The sequence below is a fragment of the Homo sapiens genome, chromosome 16, assembly GCF_000001405.40.
Source record: "Homo sapiens chromosome 16, GRCh38.p14 Primary Assembly".
In the NCBI taxonomy this organism is placed as follows: Eukaryota; Metazoa; Chordata; class Mammalia; order Primates; family Hominidae; genus Homo; species Homo sapiens.
The window spans coordinates 19231959-19256976 of NC_000016.10; the positions used below are offsets into that span (position 1 = coordinate 19231959).

The 25018-nt window shown below is 46.8% G+C and overlaps 1 protein-coding gene across 16 annotated transcripts in view; it reads left to right on the forward strand.

Moving 5' to 3' along the window:
* Nucleotides 1-25018, forward strand: part of SYT17 (synaptotagmin 17) — a 100499-nt gene that overhangs the window by 64125 nt on the left and 11356 nt on the right. For 4 of the 16 annotated variants that reach the window (XM_047434204.1, XM_017023280.2, XM_047434205.1 and 1 more), the window contains one exon: nt 17983-18120. The exons of the other annotated variants lie outside the window; for them this stretch is intronic. In XM_047434204.1, coding sequence (XP_047290160.1) covers nt 17983-18116 — 134 coding nt within the window. In that variant the 3' untranslated portion in view covers nt 18117-18120. Of the gene's footprint in view, nt 1-17982; nt 18121-25018 lie in introns of those variants that run through there. 16 annotated transcript variants of the gene reach the window in all.

Sequence of the window (25018 nt, forward strand, 5' to 3'; positions counted from 1 at the left end):
GTCTGTGGAGTGAGAGGAGCTGACACGTGAGCTGGGAGCTGAAGGACAAGGAGGTATTAATCAGCAGAGAGGATTGCAGGGGATGCAGAGAGGTCGGCCGGGCTCCCGCCCCGGAAGAGAAATTGAGGCTGACGTCATACTTCAACCTGGGAGCTAAAACTGCCAGGGGTTGGCATGAAAGACCCCCACACCCTGCTGCCTGCTGCGGGAATTGACCAGGGCATAGGCTTAGAGGGGCCTCATCAATAATAACCAGTGCAGGACAGCTATGGAATACACAGAAAAGAAACAAGGCAATGACAGACACGCCTCAATTTTTGCCAACCCTTGGTGTCTCTCTAAGACTAGAGAATATGGCGTCTCTATTTTCACATGCATCTGCGTCGCCCAGGGATTTGTTAAAATGCAAATTCTGACTCAGTAACTCAGGAGGCCAAGGTGGGCCTGGAATTCTGCATTTCTAACAGTTCCCAGGTGATGCTGATGCTGTGGGGCTGCAGACCACATTTTGGGAAACAAATAGACCCAGGAAGGGCATCAGGGTGAGTGATGATTGATTGTGCCAGTGCATTAATAAGAATTAAACCCTTGGCCCGGTGCGGTGGCTCACACCTCTAATCCCAGCACTTTGAGAGGCTGAAGGGGGCGGATCGTTTGAGTCCAGGAGTTTGAGACCAGCCTGGGCAGCATGGCAAAACCCCATCTCTACTAAAATTACAAAAATTAGCTGGTCATGGTGGTGCATGCCTGTAGTCCCAGCTGCTCGGGAGGCTTAGGTGGGAGGATTGCTTGAGCCTTGGGAGGTGGAGGTTGCAGTGACCCGAGATCACGGCACTGCACTCCAGTCTAGGTGACAGAGCCAGTCCCTATCTCAAAAACATAAACAAACAAACAAACAAACAAACAAACTCTCTAGCACTGGTCCCTACCCCTGCACATTGTTTGACTCCCTAACCCTGTCTGTACGTTAGTATTACTCAGGGACTTTAAAAAAACTCTGATGCCCCGTTCCCAGAACAGATAAACTGAATCAACCCAGGCGTCTGGGTTTTTTGGGGTTTTGGAAGGCATCTGTATTCTTCAAAGCTCCCAGGTGGCTCTCTTGTGCAGGCTGGGTTGGCCAATCTTTGCCTCTACTGTTCCACCTCCCTCTCGCCCTGCTGTCTGTCTGGAGGCCTCCCAGACCCCTCTGTGAGAGCGAGTGCCAAGGCACCTGGTCTGTGTTCCATAATTGCTTGGCTTTCTGCAGCTGTAGCATCAAATCAGCTAATTGAATCTGCTGGTGAGATGAGATGGGTGGGAAGGCACGGCGGGGAATGGGTGGGAGGCCTGGAGGGCAGCATGCCAGCCTCTTGCTTGGAAAGACCCCAGGTCAAATGGGTACTGGAGGATGTTCTTTAAAGGGGTTGGGGGCCAGGCACAGTGACTCACATGTATAATCCCAGTACTTTGGGAGGCCGAGGCAGGAGAATCACTTGAGTACAAGAGATCGAGAGCAGCCTGGGCACATAGCATAATCCCATTTCTAAAAAAAAAAAAAATTAAAAATTAGCTGGGCATGGTGGTGCATGTCTGTCATCCCAGCTACTCAGGAGGCTGAGGTGGGAGGATCACTTGAGTCCAGGAGGTCAAGGCTGCAGTGAGCTAGGATCATGCCACTGCACTCCAACCTGGGCAACAGAGTGACACTCTGTCTCAAAAAATAAAATTAAATTAAAAATAAAAAGTGTTGGAGTTTGGGAAGCAGGACAGTGGAGAGGCAGAGGGTCTCCAGCAGAGAAGAGAAAAGGAAGGAATTCTGAGTGGGGCAGAGCATTCTGAGAGAGCCTGAAATTCTCCTGGGATGGAGAGATGTGTGAGCTTGTTCCAGGGCACAGATGCTTCCCCACAGCCCCACCCTGGCCACAGCCCACCCATGACATACCTTCTCTCTGCAGCCATGCAGCAGCCTCTGTCTTTTCCCCTTCTAGCCTGACTTAGTGAGCACCAGACTCAGCTCTGCCTAATAGAGAGAAGGTTGCATGGCTATTCAGAGTATGGATTGGAGTGAGCTACAGTTTGGTTCAAATTTCACCTTTTGGCCATTCACAGTGGTTCACACTCATACCTGTAATCCCAGCACTATGGGGGGCCTAGGCAGGAGGATTGCTTGAGGCCAGGAGTTCAAGACCAGCTTGGGCAACATAGCGAGACCTTACCTCCACAAAAAATTAAAAAATTACCCAGGCATGGTGGTGCTTGCCTGTAGTCCCAGCTACTCAGGAGGCTGAGTTGGGAGGATCGCTTGAACCCAGGAGTCCAAGGCTGCAGTAAACTATGATCACACCACTGCACTCCAGCCTGGGGGACAGTATGAGACCCGGTCTCAAGAAAAGAAAAGAAAGAAAGAAATTCACCATTACCACCTAGACAGTGTATGGGCATCGGGCAAACTATTCTTTTGATGGATCTCAGGTTTCTTCTCTGTTATGAGCTTCCAATCTCAATTTTTATTTTATATATTTATTTTTACCTTTCCTCTAATGCTGAAAATCTCACTATTTTATATAAAAAGCTTTAGAAAGTGCCTTGTACAGTTAGTGCTCAATAAATGTGAAATATGATTGATGATGATGATAATTGATGGACCCTGCCATAGAAGAGCAGGACCTGGAATTACACAGACTTGAGTTTGAATCTTGGCCCCATGATAAATCAGCTGTGTGACCTCAAGCAAGTGACACTGCCTCTCTGAGATCCAGCTTACTTTTGTGTAAAGTGTAGCAATCATTCTTTTTATGGGGGTTAAAGGCAAATCAGCCTGTGGGCCCATCCAGAAGTGGCCACTTGGAAAATTATATCTGCTGTTTTAATCATTGCAGTCTGTGAAAGAGTTGAAAACCTGGTGCTTTGGAGGTATTTAATAGCTCAGCCCAGCAGCCTGTGGTTGTTGCCCCAGCATCTCCCTCACCTGTTCACCATCATTCCAAAGCTGCCAGTGGTATGATGTCTGGGAGCCAGGAATTGACACCAAATCTGTGCCAACTCAGATGCAGAACCAGGCGTTTGTGCTCCCTGAAGTTTCTTGGGATTGGCAGTATGGGGAGATAGGTCAGAGCAAGACCTGGCAGTAGGCACTCAGCGCCAGATCAGTCATGGGAAGTGAGCTGCAGAGCGAAGGGATTAAAGCCAGAGGACCACAAAAGTGAGCCCCTGAGAGCTACAGTATGGGGAGTATTATAAAGGGGAAGAACTTAAGAATAGGTTCCATAAAACTGTGTATGTACTACTGGACTCATCTCCAAGCTACACAAGTGGATATTATTCTAAACAGTCTACTAAAGACACTGAAAACCAAACTATAGGGTGGCTCACCACCTAGGTCCCTTGGGGACACATCTGAGGGGCAGATACAAATAGCATTGCAAGGCCTTTGAAAACTGAACTGACATCAAAATAACAGCAAACAGAAGGCAGGATAGAACTTGTAGCCTGAACTTTTCCATGTCAATTTCTTAAAAAGTCAACATATTCAATAGGATTTAAGCAAGACCTAGAGTCTCATAATATTAAAAATGGCCAGGATACAACCCAAAATGACTTGATTTACGAAGAATTAGCAAAATCTGGCAAATTCTTAGAGAAAGTGTAATCAACAGATGCCAACCACAAGATGGCCCAGATGTTGGAATTATCAGATGAAGACTTTGAAGCAACTATTATAACCATGCTCCACGAAGTAAGGGTGAACCCTCTTGAAAAGAATGATAAGGTAGAAAATGTCAGCAGATCAACAGAGAAATAGAAGATATTAGAATTACGTGGAAATTTTAGAACTGAAAAAGTACAATCACTGAAACAAAATATTTGCTGGATGAACTCAATAGCAGAATGGAGGTGACAGAGGAAGGTGTTAGTGGGCTCGAAGACAGATCCAGAGAAATTATGCAACAGAGAGTGAAAAAAATCGGGGAAAGAAAAGGGTGGGGAGACCTATGGAGAAATATCAAAAAGGTTTAATGTTCATGTCACATGGATTCCAGAACATTTATGTCACATGAATCCCAGAAGGAAAGAAGAAAAAACAGTGGGGAGCATTGGCATGGAGACAGGCGACTCACCCCAGACAACCCCTGAGTTCCTTACCAGATTGCTGGGCTCCTGGCTTAACCAAACCACTCTTGTTCTTCCCTTCTCAGAAAACATTAGCAATTCATGAGGAAGCTGTGTGGCACCATGGTCAAAGTCAGCCAGAGCTGGCTTCTGTGTGACTGTGGGCAAGTTGCTTTACCACGCTGAACCTCGGTTTTTTTCTTGTCTGAACAATGGGGACAGTAATACTTCTATTTATCATGAACCACCTGTATGTTGATTTTCTCATTTAATCTTTCAACAAACATATAAGTTATGATCTATTTTATGATCATTTTTCAGCTGGGGAAACTCGAAGCTTAGGGACGGGAAGTGCAATGAGTATAGCCAACTGCAGAGTGAGAGAACAGTTCACCCAAAACTGCCCTCACTTCAGATACCAGCTGTAAGTTCTGAGGTCTCTAGGACTACCTCCCTTCAGACCAGTTGGTTACAATTTCAGGGCCCCTGTGACCTCCCTCAGGTTCAATAATTTGCTAGAAAGACTACTAGAACTCAGGAAAGTGCTACTTATGACTACAGTTTTATTACAGCAAAAGGGTGCAAATTAAAATCAGCCAAGGGAGGAGACGCATAGGGCAGAGTCCAGGAGGGGTCAAACTCTGAGACTCTAGTCATCTGTCCGCCTTGTGAGTCACAAACAGCATTACCTCTACTCAGTCACTGTGTGTGACAATGCAAACAGTATAGCCAGCCAGAGAAGCTTGTCACGCCTTTGGCATCCAGAGATTTTACTGAGCCTCAATCACATACTGCTCAGGTGGCTGATCTTCAGTCTCTATCCCCTCCCAGAGGTCTGGGTAAGACCTTTCATGATCAGTTTCACCATAAGTCTGAATTGATACTATGTGATCCTAGAGCCCCAATCATAAATCACATTGCTAGGCTAGCCAAGAGTCAAAGCCCCTAGGCAAACAAAGATACTCTTCTTAGGCAGAACATTCCAGGGACCTAGAGATCAGTCCCTAGGAGCCAAAGACAAAGGCTAGGCCTCTTTTTGGGTAAGATTACTTTTTCACTGTTTAGGTAGTAACTAGCAACCGTGCAAAGTCATCCAGCTGGTGAGTGGTTGAGCTGAGCTTCCAACTTAAAGCTGCTTGGTTCCAAAGCCCTTTTCACTCACTCTTAACCACGACATTGATGTTCCTGTGAATCAACTGGGGGTCTTGTTAAAATGTGGTTTCTGATTCCATAAGCCTGAGGAGGCACCTGAGCATCTGTATTCTAATAAGTTCCAGGTGACACCTGTGCTGGTCTGAGACCCACACTTTTGAGGCAGGAGGTGGGACTTGGACACTGGACCAAATTGAGGGCTAGCTAAAACAGGGATGGGGGAAAACAGCTTTCCATAAGACACACCCAACAGTGCGCCATCTCAGTTTACCATTGCCATGGCAACACCTGGAAGTTACCGTCCCTTTCCACGGCAATGACCCGACAACCCAAAAGTTACCACTCTTTTCCTAGAAATTTCTGCATAATCCACCCTTTAATCTACATGTAATTAAACGTAGGTATAAAGGTGATTACAAAACTGCCCTGAGCTGCTACTCAGCACACTGCCTATGGGGTAGCACTGCTCTGCAGGAGCAGTCACAGAGCTGTCACACTGCTGCTTCAATAAAGCTGTTTTCTTCTACCCTACCACCAGCTCACCCTTTAATTCTTTCCCGGGCAAAGCCAGGAACCCTCATGGACTAAGCCCTACTTTGGGGCTCATCTGCCCTGCACCACTTTGAATAGCTAGGAGACCCTCCCTCTGTTCTCCCGTGTCACCCCACTATGGCCAGAGCAGGGTTGGGGGACTATGAGTTTGCAGAAATATCAGTGGGGAGATCAAGTAGAGCCTGCAGGATAAGAAGTTGATGGTTTTTTCTAAGTACATTGAGACGTCTTTGGAGGATGTTGACCAGAGAAGTGATGTGGCTTAGATGTTTGAAAAATATCCTTCCAGCTGTTGAGAGGAGAATCATCTGAAAGACCACTGTGTTAATGGCAGATTGGACTGGAGAGGTGGCAGAAGGGTTTCAGAGAGTCACTCACTGGACTATAATGTTGGAGGTAGGATCAGCAGAACATGCTGATGGATCAGATGTAAAGGACCATTCCCTATCTTGGCCAAGTTACTTATCTCTTCTGAATCAGGATTTCTTGTCTGTAGATCTCAGTTCCCAGCTCACAGGCTATTGTGGGGACAAAAGGAAATAATGTATAAATGGGCTCAGTGCAGTGCTTGGCATAAAGCAAGGGCTCAGTTGATTGTGGTGTTGAACCTGGATGTCGGCAGAGGCCAGAACTCTAGCCAGGCGGTCAGGAGATAGAAGCATAGACCTGACCTGTTACCCTGGGGTTCTCCTGGCAGAGCCCCCAGTAGCACTCTGACCTCAACTTCTCCTCCTGAGAGCTCCTTGAATCTGCCAACATCCACCAGGTGGTAGAACTTGGCTGGATCGTACACATCCATTATGGGTTCCAATGGCAGCCTTTGAAGATCAGGCCAGCTGCCAGGGCTCCTGAGGGTTTTTATTCCACTTGAATGGCTGTTTAATGACTCTGGTGCCTTTGGATGGAACCTTGTTCCAGGCAGATCCCCATGGGGGAGAGCATCGGGGAGCTGAGGGTTTATCCAACCACATATGTGCCTGCAGGGCCTAAGCTATACGAGGGGTCCAGCAGAGGCCAGATTTCAGGCTTGCTTTGTGCCTCGGTGGTGGCAAGATGCAATCTTATGCTCAGAAGCCAAGGCCAGCACCTGGGTAGGTTCGAGATGAAGGCTTATGCAGGAAATCAAATCAGAAACCAAGAGTATGCTTTCAGACATCCCTTCTATCCATCATCTCATTCTGACTTTCCCAACCCAGAGCTGCCAGTCAGCAGAATGCTTAACTTTTAAAATGCCAGGGCCTGGCCAGGTGCCATGGCTTATACCTGTAATCCCAGCACTTTGGAAGGCCGGGGCAGGAGGATTGCTCGGGGCTGGGAGTTTAAGACCAGTCTGGGCAACACAGAAAGACACCATCTCTACAAAAAGTAAATGAAAAAAGTTAGCTGGACATATGGTGGCGTGTGGCTGTAGTCCCAGCTACTCAGGAGGCCAAAGTGGGAGGATCACAGGAGTTGGAGGCTGCAGTGAGCTATAATCATACCACTGCACTCCAGCCTGGACAACAGAGCAAGACCCTGTCTCAAAATTAATTAATTAATTAATTAATTAAACATTTAAAATATATGTATAATAAAATTTTAAAATGCCAGGGCCTGCAGGGCACAGCTTCTAGTGTCACCTGTCTGCCTACATTTTGAGGAAACGTGCTGTAGTGGAAATAGCTTTGGCTTAGAAATCAGAAAACCAGACTCCCAGAGTTTAGTGCTGTATCATTTTGAGCAGAACCTTTTAATCTCTTTCAGCCTCTATTTTTCTTCTATCAGATGCATATAAAATCTATCTCAGGGTTGTTCATGCAGTATTTGACGGTAATAACAGCAAACACTTAAATCGTGCTTCCTGTGTGCCAGGCACTGCTCCAAGTATTTCAAATGAATTAACTCATTTAATCTGCATAGAAACGCTATGACATAGTGTTACGAGATCATTGAGGGTGTTGCTTTTCTGGCCGGAAACCACTGTGCCTGGTGGCGCCTTTGTCTGAGTTTTGCCTGGACCCACTGGGCCCACTCATCCTGGCAGGCTGTGCTCGGCTCATGCTACCAGGCTGGATCCCATGCCTCTGAAGAGACTGGAGCAGAGTAGCAAGGGTTATGTGAGCAAACGAGCATGGGGTTCAGCCACTGTGCACAGTCAGGCACACCAGCTGCTGCAGTGGGGCAGGCAGTTCCAGGTGCCAGCATGGGTGCCGGCTCACTGCGAGGCTGCGGCTGGACCAGGATCACCACAAGCAGCTTCAACGGCTGGCACCGGGGAACACAGTGGTGCCCAGAAGCTTGGAGACACCAGGAACCACAGGGCCCCAAAGGGGAAGTCACAAACCTGGCTTGGGGAGCTCCTGGGCCTGGGCCCTCTGAAGGGCTGCAGCTCTCCTCTCCTTCTTTCTTCCCTCCTTCTTGTTGCCTGTAGTGTGGCAAACAAGGGGCGTGTTTCAGCCCTGTTTGTGTTACAGCTCTTTTAGCCCTGCCATTTGGCAGGCCCTGAGTTCTTGTCCTGCATCCAGGAAGAATGAGGTACGCAGACAAGTGGAGGGTGAGCAAGACGAAGAGGAGCTTTATTGAGCAATACAACAGCTCAGAGGGGACCCGTAACAGGTAGCTCCTCTCTGTAGCCAGCGTGTCCCAACGAGTGTTCAGCTCTCAGCAGAGAGGGTAGCTTCTCTCTGCTAGGCAGGTCATCCAAGTGTCCAGCTGTCAGCAGCTGGACAGCCTGTAGTCTACCCATCGTCTCTCTGTTCTCTACCCTGAGTCTGGCTGAGTCCAGGGTTTTTATGGGCCTCAGAGGGGAGGAAGTGTATGCTGATTGGTCCATGGGCAGCCATGGGCTGGCCCAGGGAAAAGCACCAGAGGTTTCCACTCTGGTCCACGGGACTGGCGGCCTGGTCCCCAGGCTTCAGGCCCTCCCTGGTTTGAAGGCGGGGCTTCACCAGGGACCAGCCCTCTTCTGCCCAGAAGCCTGTCTGTCTCCTGCTGCTCATGCCAGGTTGCTCATGGCGCTCAGGCTGTTCATGCCGAGAGGCACCTGCAGGCCAGTGGTAGGCTGTCCTTGGCCCCTCCTCAGCCTCCCCGTCATACTTGCTGGCACCCAAAGTCTGGAAGGGGCCGAGGCATCAGGGGGCTGTCATGTCAGCACTACCCCAAGCATGTGCACACCCGGCCAGGCTGCCACAGCACCTAGGCTCAGTTCTTTTTTTTTTTTTTTTTTTTTTTTGAGACGGAGTCTCGCTCTGTCGCCCAGGCTGGAGTGCAGTGGCGGGATCTCGGCTCACTGCAAGCTCCGCCTCCCGGGTTCACGCCATTCTCCTGCCTCAGCCTCCCAAGTAGCTGGGACTACAGGCGCCCGCCACTACGCCCGGCTAATTTTTTGTATTTTTAGTAGAGACGGGGTTTCACCGTTTTAGCCGGGATGGTCTCGATCTCCTGACCTCGTGATCCGCCCGCCTCGGCCTCCCAAAGTGCTGGGATTACAGGCGTGAGCCACCGCGCCCGGCCCCCTAGGCTCAGTTCTGACTTTGCTCCGAGTTAGGAGTGGGTGCTGAAAGCAGGGAGGAGCCAGGCAGCAAAGGTGGGGTGGGGGATTGGGGCTGGGGAGGGAAGGGTGCCTTCCTGCGCCCCCAAGAGTGCATAGATGCCTGGGTCTGCAGCTGTAGCTAGGTGGCTGCAGCTGCACCCAGGAAGCTCCCTCCCTGCCATTTTGGAAGAGGCAGGGCTCCCGCTTGTGACTGCTCCCACCCACTCTGTGGAGCATGCTGGAGCGTGCAGCCCTGGCCGTACCTCCTGGCAGCCTGGGGCGGGGGCCCAGGTCCTCACTGGGTCGCTCTCTGCCCACTCCTCCATGCCTGACTGCATTGCTCTCCCACTGGTGGATGGCTCAGCCCAGTCCCATTGCAGTGGCCCCTAGGGCAGCAGGCTCTAGTGGAGGTTCCTGGGGGCAGGCTCTGAGGACCATCCACCTCCTTCCTGCGCCCTCCCCACAGCTACGGCGGGGCAGAGAGAGGTGATGCGTGCCAGGGTCGGGAGTCACAGAGGCTCTGGGCCTGGGAGTGGGTCCCATCCAGTCATACAAGGGTGGGGACAGCACAGTTGGCTGCCTTGGGCACGTGGGGCACAGGGGTCCCACCACCACTGCCCGTTCCCCGCAACTGCCCCCCACCACCACAGCCAGAGCAATGGCAGTGGCTGCTCCGGATGGCCCTTCACTATCATCAATAGGAGTCATTATTGCCCTTTTATGGAAGAGGGAAGTGAGGCAACAATAGGGTGGGAAGTAGCTTACCTAGGATCCTGGAGCCAGGATTCAAACCCTGGTCATCTGGACTAGAATCTGAGCTCTCAGTTACTGGGTTATATGTCTCAAGTGTTTAGCCCCTGCTTTGTTGAGGTGCTGCATTAGTTGCTGAAGAAACACAGAAAAACAGAAAAAATCCATCCTTTCATGACCTTGACATTCTAGTTGGGGTGAGATAAATGATAAATAAACGAACAGCTAAATAATAGTGGAGTGAGCCAACAGAGAAGGCCAGGAAAATTACTCTAAATTTGATATATAAGCTGAGAAAGGGCCAGCAGTGGAAGGATGTAGGAAAGGAGCATTCTAGGCAGAGGGAATTGTGCAAAAGGCCCTGGGGCAGGAATGAGCTTATTTTGTTCAAAGAAGAGAAGGAAAGCCAGAGTGTCCAAAACAGTGATCTCATGGAGTGAATTAGGCAATGAGGTCTGAGCAATTAGCAGAGACTATAGCAAGGAACTTAGATGATACATTTTTTTTTAATTAAAAAAATTTTTTTTGAGATGGGGTCTCACTCTGTTGCCCAGGCTGGAGTGCAGTGGCACAATCTCAGCTCACTGCAGCCTCGACCTCCCTAGGCTCAAGTGATCCTCTCACCTCAGCCTCCTGAGTAGCTGGGACTATAGGTGTGTGCCACCATGCCTGGCTAATTTTTGTACTTTTTTTTGTAGAGATGGGGTTTCGCCATGTTGCCCAGGCTGGTCTTGAACTCCTGGGCTCAAGCAATCTGCCCGTCTCGGCCTCCCAAAGTCCTAGGATTACAGGTGTGAGCCACCACACCCAGCCTTAGATGGTGAGTGTTTATTGAACACCCATAGTGTGCCTAAGGCTGATAGGCATGGAGGAAACAGAACTGAAGAAGAGATGTGGCTCCTGGCTCCATGAAGAACTGGGTGAGATGACATGCATGCAAGGACTTAGCACACAGCAGATGCTCAGTGGGTGTAATTTTCTCTCTCTTCCTATTTGTGAGTCGACATGAAAACTGCTTCTCTGGGTTTCTGCCTCCCCCCATGCCCTGCATTAGAGCAGGACAGAATGTAGTTGGCTTATCATGGAAATTATTTTTAGAAACAGCCATAGGCAAGGGCATTATTTACCAAGCAAAACAAAGCAAACAGGTGGGTGAAGAGTCAGTAGGGCGGGCAGTGGGCAAAAGATCTTTGCCTCTGTCTTCATGAGCAGATGCCTACACTGGCCACAGGAGGCTCTTTGGGGCCTGTTGTTCACTTTCTTGAGGATCTTGAGTGACTGGTCCAGGAACCAGGGAGAGTATCTGCTGATGTGGCAAGCAAAATTCCCCTTAGATGTCTGCTTTGGGATCTTATTCTGCTTAATTGTATTTGGGCTGGAGAAGCAGAGGGGAGGCAGCCTTTGGATGACTTGTGGGTGGGTTCCTCTTCCATCCTTGTGCAAGGTCACCCTTGCCTTCTTGGTGACCTCTCTGCTAAGGAGAAGCCAGGACACTTAAGATATGCCTCATCTGGCTGGGCGCAGTGGCTCATGCCTATAAATCCCAGCACTTTGGGAGGCTGAGGCTGGCGGATCACCTGAGGTTGGGAGTTCAAGACCAGCTGACCAGCCTGACCAACCTGGAGAAGCCCTGTCTCTACTAAAAATAGAAAATTAGCCAGGCATGGTGACTCATGCCTGTAATCCCAGCTACTCGGGAGGCTGAGGCAGGAGAATCACTTGAATCTGGGAGGCAGAGGTTGTGGTGAGCCAAGATCACGCCATTGCACTCCAGCCTGGGCAACAAGAGCGAAAAAACTCCATCAAAAAAAAAAAAAAAAAAAAAAAAAAAGATATGCCCTGACAACCTCGTGATAAAATAAGGGCCCCAGCCTCATTACAAGAAGCACCTCTAAGACTCAATAAGTTCCTAAGGCACTTGAGGACTAGGGCAAGTTGTACTTTTCCAAGTTATTAAGTGTGGCTTGGAAAAGAAGGCACAAAAGACATCATGGGAAGAGCTCCTAACTTGGGCGAGGGGCAGGAGTTTAGTGGTAGCTCTTATAATAAAAATAGCCAACATTTATTAAAGTCTTAGAATCCTCCACGTGCTGTCCCAAGTACTTTATAAGCACTGTCTCAACTCATCGCACAACAACCAGACGAGGTAGGTTCTGATGTTATCCCATTTTACAGGGAAAGAAACTGAAGCTCAGAGATCTCATATGACTCACTACAAAGCTAGAAGTCACTGTATCAGTTAAGGTGTGGCTAGCTGCTATAACAAATCAGCTGCCAAGGTTTTGTGGTTTGACACCACAGAAGCTTATTTCTTTTCTTTATTATTATTTTTTTTTGAGACAGGGTCTTGCTCTGTCGCCTAGGCTGGAATGCAGTGGCACAATCTTAGCTCACTGCAGCCTTGAACTCCTGGGCTCAAGTGATCCTCCCGCCTCTGTGTCCTGAGTAGCTGGGACTACAGGTATGTGCCACCGTGCCTGCCATTTTAAAAAATTTTTTGTAGAGATGGGGGTCTCACTGTTTTGCCCAAGCTGGTCTTGAACTCCTGGCCTCAGGCAATTTTCCCATCTCAGCCTCCCAAAGTGCTGGGATTACAGGCATGAGCCACCGAGCCTGGACCAGAATCTTACTTCTTTCTTGCACCATGGTCCTTCGAGGATCCTGTCATGAGTGACCTTCCATGTGGTGATTCAGCGGCCCAGGCGCCTTCCATCTCATGGCTCTGCCATCTTCTCTGGCCTTGGGGAGTTTCATCTCTAGCTGGTGGTTGGGGAGGAAAGAGAGCTGAGGACTGCATGGGAACTGTTCATGGGCTGAGCCTAGAAGTAATGTACATCACTTCCACTTCCAATTCTATTCATATTCTACTGGCTGAAACTCTGAAGGAGAGGCTGGGAAATGTAGTCCAGCTACACGTTGAGGGAGAGAGTGAACAGGCTTTGGTGACCACACAGCCATCTCTGCTCAGATACCCAAGGAGGCAAATAGAAGAGCCAGTCCATGCCTTCAACATGCTTGCTCCACGACCTCCCTGAGCACCTGTGGCCTCTGAGTTTATGGTCAGGGTCAACAGTGGGGGAATCTCATGCCACCAAATTCCAGGCTGGCAAGAGCCTGGAAAACCTTTTGGCTGGAGAGCCCGGGTCACCTGCTGACTTATGAAAGCAGTGAAATCAGTGGTTCTCAACCTGGGGTGACATTGTCTCCCTAGAGGACATTTGACAATGTCTGGAGGCATTTTTATTGTCACAGCTCAGGGATGCTACTGGCATCTAGTGGGTAGTGGCCAGGGGTGCTGCCAAATATCCTACAGTGAACACATAACCCCTCACAACGGAAAATCATCCAGCCCCAAATACCTATGGTGCCAAAGTGAAGAAACCCTGAGCTAGAATGATGGGATTCTGTGGGTCCCCTGAGGTTTTTGGGGTGAGGTGGTGATCTCCACCAGGCGCCGAGAAGGGCAGGTTTGCCTGGGCTCAGAGCCAGTCAGCACCTGTTCTGCACCTGTTTGAGGCTTGTTTACTCTCCTTATGGCATTTTAACCTCTCATCATTCCCAGTGGCTTCTCTTTAACTGCCTGAGTGTGAAGAGCTCAGATCCAGAGCATGCTGAGTGAGTCCACGCTCATCTGTGCAGATTTTTCAAATGGCTTCCCTGTCTCCACCCATAAAAACGTAGGCAAACAGAAATACCTTGCTCTGCAAACAAGCCCCATCCCCCAGGTGACAGGGCCTGGGCAGATGGACTGCAGCTCAGCCCAGCTTGAGAGGGAGCGGGGAGCCCTCTTGGGAAGATGAGCAGAATATCACCTGAATGCGGTGACGTGAAGGGGTTACATGGGAAAGGGCAGTACTGATGGCTTTTTAGTATTGCTGTTATAAAAGATATAATTTTTCCATACTATATGTATGTATATATGTGCATATATATGCATATGCATGTATGCATATTATTATTTAGATATAATTCCTATATTTTGTATATTATTTATTTATTTTTTTTTTTGAGACAGAGTCTCACTCTGTCATCCGGGCTGGAGTCCAGTGGTGCGATCTTGGCTCACTGCAACCTCTGCCTGCTGGGTTCAAGAGGCATCCCAACTAGCTGGGATTACAGGCACCCACCAGCAAGCCCAGCTAATTTTTGTATTTTTAGTAGAATCGGGGTTTCACCATGTTGGCCAGGCTGGTCTCGAACTCTTGGCCTCAGGTGATCTGCCCGCCTCAGCCTCCTAAAGTGCTGGGATTGCAGGTGTGAGCCGCCATATCTGGCCTATAATTTATATGTGTATATTGTATTACTATTTCTATAAATATTAGCCACCAATATATTAATAATGAATATTAATAAATTGATATCCATTAATGAATATTTGCAATATGAATATGTAAAAATGAATATCACTTATATATTATTCAAATATCTAGAAACTACACACACATATATTATGTGCAACCGTAAATGGGGAGAAATAAAACAAAAAGTAAAAGTCCCTAATTTCCCCTACTTAGAGCTAACCACTTGTAACATCTAGGCTCTTTCCAGGAATGTATGCACTAATATGTGTATATACGTACACATATGTGTGTGCGTGGTATGTATACGTATGTGTGTGCGTGTATATGTGCACATCTGGGTATGTGTATGTCTATATCTCTACTCTCTTTTGTTAGCATCCAAAATGTATATGCTTTACTGCCACTTGCTCTTCTCACTTTGTACATCTTAGACAGTTTTCCAAATTAGCACCTATTTATTCATTTAACAAATATTCATGAGTCCCTCTTATGAGCCAGGCACTGCGGCTATGACAGTGAGCAAATTAGACAAAAATCCCAGGTTCAGCAGGCTAATGCTTTAATGTGGGAAGACAGGCAATAAACAAAACAAATAACTGAATTTTGCAGTTGAGAGGTGATGTTGAATCCAAATGAGAAAACGGAAGCAGAGAAAGGGGGTCGTGATGCATGGGGTGAGGGTGACAGTTATTAAAGGGTGGCCAGGGGGAAGGTGACCTTTGATCCTAGCCTTTTAGGAGATCAGAGATATACCATGTGGACGTTTGTGGGAAGAGCATTCCAGCCAGAGGGAACAGCAACACAAAGGCGCTGGCAGGAGAAACAGCAAAGAGATCAAGTGATTGAGGTGGAGAAGTATAAAGCCCTCTCATTATTACGGCCGTATGATATCCCATTCAGTCAATTAGTTGAAGAGTAATCTATTTGGTAGGTCTCCTGTTGGTAAACCTTGAGGTTAATCACTTTTTCTGGGCTTAGAAACATTGTTAGAGTGAGCATCCTCACCTATATCTCTGCTGATGTGTCCAAATGTACTGTGACCTAAATCCTAGCAGTGGGATGGCTGGATCAAAGCATACATGTTGGTCAATTTTGATAGATATCGTCAAATTTGCAATTTTTAAAAAAATGACACATCCTTGCCCCAAGCAACCCTCCTGTCCCGGCCTCCCAAGGTGCTGCTGGGATTACAGGCATGAGCCACTGCAACCAGCCAGTGGCACAATTTTTACTTTGTTGTGTCTTCTTGAAGCATCCAATTGAGACAGATGACTTAGGAAAATGTTTTAGCTCAGGGAGGTCCCAACTCCTTGCCCCGCAGAAGATTCTTGTAAGAATGACATAAGCAAGCTTTGAAAATTGTTAAGTTCTGAACAACCATTTTTTATCATCCCTCTTTACCTTTAAAATCATCTTTATTTTTAATTATGTAATAATCTCAGATTTGACTTTAGTTTTATTTTATAGTTGGCATAGACAAAGCAGTTCTAAAGGTTACTGCCTTCCAAAATCCAGTGTGTGGATTATTATTTTTGCAATGAGTGAAAAAGTGATAAATGGACTTCAACAGGATTGAAAACCTTTGCTCTTCAAAAGACATAGTCAAGAAAATAAAAAGCCAAGCCATGCCCTGAGAGAAATTTTTGGCAAAACATATATCCAACAAAGAGCCCATATCCGGAATATATAAAGAGCTCTTGTAACTCAATAAGACAGTCCACACCCCAAGAAAAATGGGCAAAAGCTTTGAAAAGGCACACCGCACAAAAAGAGAATACATAGATAGCAAAGAAGCATATGAAAAGATGCTGCTCTTCATCAGTCAACAGAAATGCAAATTAAAACCATAATACATTACCACTACACACCCACTAGTACAGTTAAGTTTAAAAGATGGAAAACAAGAAGTGTTGGTGAGAATATGAAGCAACTGGAACTCTCATGCATTTCTGGTGGGAATGCAAGATGCTACAGCCACTTTGGAAACAGTTATGAATGGGGCTTATAAGGGTAAATATATATTTACCATCCAACCCATGAATTATACTCCTAGGTATTTACCCAAGAGAAACAAAAACATATGTCTACAAAAAAAGGCATGTATGCAGATGTTCCTGGAAGCATTATTTGTAATCACCAAAAAAGTGGAAATGATCCAAATGTCCATCAACTGATGAATGGATAAACAAATTGTGAGACATTCATACATTAGAATACTACTGGGCCGGGCGTGGTGGCTCACGCTTGTAATCTCCACACTTTGGGAGGCTGAGGTGGATGGATCACTTGAGGTCAGGAGTTTGAGACCAGCCTGGCCAACATGGCGAAACCCCATCTCTACTAAAAATACAAAAAATTAGCTGGGCATGGTGGTGGGTGCCTGTAATCCCAGGTACTTTGGAGGCTGAGGCAGGAGAATCACTTGAATCTGGGAGGCGGAAGTTGCAGTGAGCTGAGATCGCGCCACTGGACTCCAGCCTGGGTGACAGAGCAAGACTCTGTCTCAACAACAACAACAACAAAAAGAATATTACTCAGCAGTAAAAAGGAAGGACATATTAGTACACATACACATGGCCGAATCTCAAAAACATTACGCTAAGTGAATGCAAATGACTATATACTGTGTGACTCCATTTATATGGATTTCTACTAAAGGCAAAACTATGGTAAAAGAGGCCAGTGTGGTGGCTCACGCCTGTAATCCCAGCACTTTGGGAGGCCGAGGCGGGTGGATCACAAGGTCAGGAGATCAAGACCATCCTGGCTAACATGGTGAAACCCCGTCTCTACTAAAAATACAAAAAATTAGCCAGGCGTGGTGGCAGGCGACTGTAGTCCCAGCTACTCAGGAGGCTGAGGCAGGAGAATGGTGTGAACCCAGAAGGCGGAGCTTGCAGTGAGCTGAGATCATGCCACGGCACTCCAGCCTGGGCGACAGAGCGAGACGCCGTCTCAAAAATAAATAAATAAATAAATAAATAAATAAATAAGTAAATAAACTATGGTGGAAGAAAGCAGCAGGCAAGGTACTACTACCTGTGTCCAGCCAACTTGAGCCAGGGAGGGGATGGAGTGGAAAGGGACAAGAAGAAGGAACTTTCTTTGGGGAAAGAGCTATATCTTGATTATCTATGGTGGTACTTACACAATCATAGGCAGTGATTAAAATTCATCAAATTAGATACTTGGAAATGGATGGATTTTATTCTGTGTAAATAAGACTTTAATAAGACTGCGGGGATATTTTTTAAAAATGAAACAAGTGGTTGTGGGTTTAATTTGCATTTTCTCATGACTGTTGGTGTGGAACATCTTTCCAAGTGCTTTTCATGTGGAAGGTGGAAGGCATTAAAGGCAGGAGAGGGCTCTGAGCAGGATCCAGTGTGCTCATTGGTACAAAGGACCGTTGAACCTTTGTTTGGTGTTTTGGGTAGACAAAATATGAAGGTTTCAGACTCTTTGGTTCAGGCCCTGGTTGGTGTTTCTGGCCATGCATGGTCTGTTATTGGAGTCATTGGGATAACCTGGAGTCACTGGGGGCTCCATACTTTCATCCAGGTCGTCTTGTCTTGCTCACTCCCTTGTCCCCAGCAGATTCACCAAGTCCTCTTTTTGCTCTAGGATCCAACAGCCCCATACCAGCCTGCGAACTGAGTAGTCACCCAGCTCATGGTATCAGTCCTTGGATACCCTCACCTGGAAATGAACATTTCCATGGCATAAAGAAGCAAGTAAAGGCAATAAAAGTAGAATGATTGAGTTGGTTGTGTGTCTGGTTGCTTTTATTTTAAAGGCTTTGGTTTAACATTTTATTTAAAAATTTTTTAACATATTGAAAGAATTGTCCCATGAACACCCATATTTCTACCCATCAGATTCTGTAATGAACATTTTGCTGTTTGCTTTATCACACATCTATCCAACTCTCTCTCTCGACTCATATTTTTATCATACATTTCAAAGTCAGTTGCTGATGTTAATCCCATTTCAATGTGGGGCAGACTCTCGGGGTAATTTCAAAAAGATGTCTCAAACATGTTTGTGTGTGTGTGTGTGTGTGTGTGTGTGTGTGTGTGTGTGTGTGTTTGGAGACAGGGTCTCACTCTATTGCCCAGGCTGGAGTGCAGTGGTGCCATCATGGCTCACTGCAGTCTCGACCTCCCAGACTTAAGCAATCCTTCCCAAATAGCTGGGACTCCAGGGGCACCCCACTACATTCAGCTAATTTTAAATCTTTTTTGTAAAGGTCTTGCTGTGTTCCCAGGGCTGGTCTCGAACTCCTGGGCTCAAGTGATCCTCTTGCCTCAGCCTCCCATAGTGTTGGGATTACAGGCATGACCTTGCCTCAGCCTCCCACAGTGCTGGGATTACAGGCGTGAACCACCATGCGTGGCCCCATTAGTTCTTTTTTTAAGGTGACTTTTTATTGAAGTCCAACACACATACAGAAAGGTGCATCAATTCATGAATTTATACAAAATTAACGATCCCATGTGACCAGTACTCAGATTAAGAACCAGAAACATTCTCAGAAATTCCCTCATAGCCCATGTCAGTTACTTCCCCCTCCCCCAGGGCAGCCATCATCCTGACCTTTCCTGCCATATATTCATTTTGCCTCTTTTTGACCTTTATGTAAATGGGATCACACCCCTTCCTTCATTCAGCATTATCTTCGTGAAATTTGTGTCATTGTGTGTAGATGTCATTTTTCTATTCACATTTTGAGGATAATAGTGTTTCAGAGTGTCACTATACCACAATTTACATATCCATTCTAGTAATAGGGTGATTTTTAAAACATGCTAGAATTTGCCCATCAAAACAGGTGGCATTTCTTTCAGAGCATAATTTGGGATGCCGCATATGCCAAGAGCTGAGGTTAGGAGTTGCAACTCACTCATAAAAGGTCATCAGGACCCGAATTCAAATCCCGCTCTACCACTGGACCACAGGCTGGGTCCCAGGTGGGCCTCCTCCTGTCACTGGGATTTGACACCTTGTCTTGCACAAGGATTCCAGACACATGCCACATTAACCCACAGTATAGGTTAAGGAATAGACTCTGTTGGGGAATAAGGAAAAGGCCTGTAGGACAGGCATTGGCAAGAAAGGAAGAAGCTTGAATTCCCTCTCCGTAACCACCATCCTTTGGAGAGATGCTGCAGGTCTGTGGTGTGTGTCTGAGTTCTAGGGCCAGGACTTTGTGCCCACCATCCCACCATTTTATAGCGCAAGCGTGAGCAGGCAACCTTGTCAGTGGGGGCAGGTGGGTTAGCACCAGTGACCAGAGACCTTAGGGCCCATGGGAAGTGACAGCTTCCTCTTCCCAGGGGAGGAAGCCACCAGGGTGGGAGGAAAGCTGGTCCCAGACAGTTCGTGGTCCAGATGTTTCGCCTAAGCTCCTAGAGCCTCTTTTGGACAATTCTGCTCATTGTACTTACACCCTGAGCCTCCATCTATTTCTCTGGAAAGTGGGAGCATCTCACAACCTTCTTCCTAGACTGCTGTGAGGGTGGAAAGGGATTGCGCATACACAGGGCCACACGGTCTCTACATGTGGCCTATTGATCTTTAAGGGATGTTACCGCTGTTCAAAACATGTTTGAGCTGAGTGTAGTGGCTCACACCTGTAATCCCAGCACTTTGGGAGGCCGAGGCAGGCAGATCATTTGAGGTCAGGAGTTCGAGAGCAGCCTGCCTAACATGGCAAAACCCCGTCTCCACTAAAAATACAAAAATTAGCTGGAGGTGCTTGCTTGAACCCAGGAGGCGGAAATTGCAGTGAGCTGACATCATGCCACTGCACTCCAGCCTGGGCGACAGAGCAAAACTGTCTCAAAACAAAACAAAACAAAAAAACCATGTTTGAGACGTCTTTTTGAAATGACCTCAAGAAACTGCCCCACATTGAAAGAAAACATAAATGTTGCAGAATTCTTCATCCTTTGAAATGAAACACATATGTTTTTGTTTGTTTGTTTTGAGACAGGGTCTCACTCTGTCACCCAGGCTGCAGTGCGGTGCTGCCATATACACATATATATATACATATATATACATATATATATATACATATATATACATATATATATACATATATATATACATATATATACATATATATACACATATATACATATATATATACATATATATATACATATATATATACATATATATATACATATATATATACATATATATATACATATATATATTTTTTTTTAAATAACTTGAGGTCATGGAAAGCTGAATGGTTCATCTAGATTAAGCTCAGCAGCACCTTAAAAAAATTAGAAATGAAGCATCATTCTAAAGAAATGAGGCTGATTTCTTTGGATGTTTTGAAGAGGATTCTATTCCTCAACTTAATGTTTGCATGAGGCACTTACCCTAAGCCAGTGAATCTCAAACCCGGCTACACATTAGGGTCACTGGGAAAACTTTAAAAAGCTGGGATGGATGTTTGGGTGCCACCTCCAGAGACTGTGTCAATTGGCCAGGAAGATCCCCTCCCCCATCACTATAGTCTAAAAAGCTCCCTAGGTGGTTATGTGTAGTCCTGCTAAACTCCAGCGTGCATCAGAATCACCCAGAGATTTGTTAAAACAGACTGCTGAGCCCCTGCCCAAGAGTTTCTGATTCAGTATAGCTGTGTGGGCTTGAGAATTCGCATTTCTAACAGGTTTCCAGGTGATGCTGCTACTGCTGGTGTGGAGACCACACTTCGGGAACCACTGCTTTAGACAGACCAGAGGTCAGCAAACTACAGCCCACTTCCTGATTTTGTAAATAAAGTTTTATTGGAATACAGCCATGTGCATTCATCAACATGCTGTTTGTGGCTGCTTTCTGCTAGTGCAGCAAAGTTGAATGCTTCCAATAGAGGCCATAGGTGGCCCTCAAAGCCTAAAATATTTACTCTCTGGCCCTTTATAGAAAAAGTATGTTGGCCTGGTATGGTGGCTCATGCTTGTAATCCCAAGACTTTGGGAGGCCGAGGTGGGAGGACAGCATGAGCTCAGGAGTTCAAGATAAGCCTGGGCAGCAAAGTGAGACCCTGAATATTAAAAAAAAAATTTTTTAAAATAGTTTTTAATTAGCTAAGTGTGGTTGTGTGTGCCTGTAGTCCCAGGTCCTTGGGAGGCTGAGGCAGGCAGGTCCCAGAAAGAAGAGGAGAGCAAGAAGACCTTTAACAACTTAGTCCCATCCCACAGAGATTGGAAACTCTAGATTGAGCCTGGGAGTTTGAGATTGCAGTGAGCTATGATAATGTCACTGCACTCCAGCCTGGGCAATGGAGCAAGACCCTGCTTCTTAAGAAAAGAAAAGAAAAAAGAAAAGAAAGAGAAAAAGTGTGCCTACCCTGGCCCTAGAGTAACACCTCTGGACTCTCTTTCAATTCTCTTTTTTTTTCTTCTTGAGACGGAGTTTCACTCTTGTTGCCCAGGCTGGAGTACAGTGGCACGATCTCGGCTCACTGTAACCTCTGTCTCCTGGGTTCAAGAGATTCTCCTGTCTCAGCCTCCCGAGTAACTAGGATTACAGGCGCCTGCCACCATGCCTGGCTAATTTTTTGTATTTTTAGTAGAGATGGGGTTTCACCATGTTGACCAGGCTGGTCTCAAACTCCTGACCTCAGGTGATCCACCTGCCTTGGCCTCCCAAAGTGGTGGGATTACAGGGGTGAACCACCGCACCCAGTCCTCTTTCAATTCTTTATTTGTTCTTTTCAGGGAAGAGGTGACTTACGTAATGGAGAACATAATAACTGCATGTAGAGGTCCCAATCTCTGTGGGATGGGACTAAGTTGTTAAAGGTCTTCTTGCTCTCCTCTTCTTTCTGGGACCTGCCTGCCCACCACAGGCACCACCCTCTGCAACTCCCTGAGTGAGTCTGCTGGACAGGCTTCACCTTGCAGGGACAAAACCTGCACAGTTATGATCAGAGAGTTTTAAATCAAGAAGAGGAAATAGTAGGATCGGGCCCCTTTCTACAACCCAGCTAAGCCACCAGTCAACTCATATTTTGATTCTGCATCTAAGCTGACTGCACATGAGATTCACTCGGGGAGCATTTGAAAACCAGTGCCACCCAGGCCCCCAACCCCAAACCAATCAACAGAATCTCTTGGGGGTAAAGCTGGGCACTGACGGGGGAAGATCTGATTTATTATCCCCTAAAGACAAAAATGAAATTGGAAGATCACAACATAACATTCTAATGATATCACCACACTGGCTCAGGTGCTCATGGTGAACCTGGAATTTGATTCCAGACCTTCTGCAGGCCTTACCTCATCCCCAAAGCTCATGACGTAGATGAAATATTGTAACTAGCTCTGTAGACAGTTTGCAGTGTACATCTTCCCCCAAGCGATGCCAGCTTCTCTGAAACAAATGTAGAGAGGACCCTCAGTCAGATGTATACATTTTTGGTTGTTCATGTCAAAACAAGCACGTTGCTTTATAGTGACACCTTTAAGTGTGCTTCCTTCTAGTCGGTGTGATTCACACATGGATCTGAAAGTGATTCTTCAACCCATATGTCATCTTCAGTGCAGGCTCCATGTGGCTCAATCTCCACACTGAGGCATAAAGAAAGGGGTCCCACAGCCCCAAAGGAATTTTAAAAGAAATTTCAACCTTGACTTTCATCTCTTGAGGAAGGAGAAAGAGATCTCATTCATAAGCCAAAGCAGCATTTCTCCGTGGTTTCTCCTCCACTCCCCCGTTTCTCTCCCCTTAAATTCGCTCTAAATTTGTTTTCTGTGCTGAGCTCCCAAGCTCTGTCTAGCTCAGTGGAGGTGACTTTCCTCCCACCTGCTCCTGAGTCTCCCAGCTCCTTTACCCTGTGAATCTGCCATAGTCTTTTGAATCTCAATGGCTTTCCTTTGGTTGGGAGAGGGGAGGCTTCGGTTTTAATGAAGGGAACTCCCATCGTTGCTGCTTTTCCCTTAAGGCAGAGGTTTTCTACCTCCACACTTACACTGATATTTGGGGCTGGATTATTCTTCACTGTAGGGCCTGTCCTGTGCATTGTAGGATGGGGGGCAGCATCCCTGAGCTCTACCCGCTAGAGGCCAGCAGCACCCCTCCCTCCAAGACATGACAATCAAAAATGCCTCCAGATTGTGGGGTAAAATTGGCCCCTGTTGAAAACAAATGCATTAAAAAATTCAGGCCAGGCACGGTGGCTCACACCTGTAATCCAACACTTTGGGAGGCTGAGGAGAGTAAGATTGCTTGAAGCCAGGAGTCCAAGATCAGCCTGGACAACATAGCAAGACCCCATGTCTAAAAAAAAAATTAATTAGCTGGGCGTGGTGAGGTGCCCCTGTAGTCCCAGCTACTCAGGAACCTGAGCCAGGAGGATCACTTGAGCCCAGGAGGTTGAGGCTGCAGTGAGCTATAATCATGCCACGCCACTGCACTCCACTGTACTCTCTTAAAATAAAAATTAAATAATTCGTTCTAAGCCAATATTGCCTGCAGACCACGACAAAGAGGGCTTCTACCTTGGGCCTCATGCTGTAAATGGGAGGAGGCAAGAAATTCATGGAGTGAGGAGTCCAGGCATCAAGGAGCCCACATCTTCCTTGCTAGATCATCTCCACATACTGGGATCCCAGAATTTCCCACCCAAACAGCCCAAGCCTATTTCCAGGATCTGCTCAAGGCTGGTCTAGGTCAGTCCCCAGGACGATGCATCATGCTATCAGTGTGTGCCCTCTAGGCTCAAGGAAATAATAAAATAGAGGTAATCATAGTACAAACCTCATAGATTTGTTGTGCGGATTAAATTTGTGTACTGAAATCCACAGGACAGGGCTGGTATGTGATAAGCACTATAGAACTGTTGGGTGCTATCATTGTATTTTTCATAGCAACAGTCTTTAATATAGGACATCTTCCCTCCTTATCTGCTGCTTGACTGAACAGGGAGCCACTCATTCAAAAGTCAGAGCCAATCCTGACCATGCTGGACCCTAGAGAGATGGCGAGAAGGGCCTCAACATGGCGCCTTTATGAGGATTTTCACGGGACTTTCCAGGGCCATTCTGACTGTTGGCCTTTTCCCTTATATGCTGGTTGAGGTTTTAACCCCTCTTCAAACACACACACACACACACACACACACACACACACACACACACACGTACCATACATCTCTATTACCCAATCTGGCCCTTATCACAGGAGAGGGTCAAGGGAAGTAGGAAATGGGTGAGTCTATTATTATTATTATTATTATTATTATTATTATTATTATTGAGGCAGGGTCTTACTCTTTCGACCAGGCTGGAGTGCAGTGGTATGATCATGCCTCACTGCAATCTCAACCTCCGGGGCTCAAGCAGTCCTCCCGCCTCAGCCTCCCAAGTAGCTGGGACCACAGGCGTGCACCAACATGCCCAGCTACTTTTTAAATTTTTTTATAGAGACAGTCTCATTATGTAACCCAGGCTGGTCTTGAATTCCTGGGCTCAAGCGATCCTCCCACCTTGGCCTCTCGAAGTGCTGGGATTACAGGCATAAGCCACTGTGCTTGGCCTCTTCTTTTTGAGATAAAGGAAGAAATTAGGCTGGACTTTGAGTTTCAATTTCTACTATGCCTCGTGCTGGCTGGGTGGCTTTGAGCACTCAACCTCTT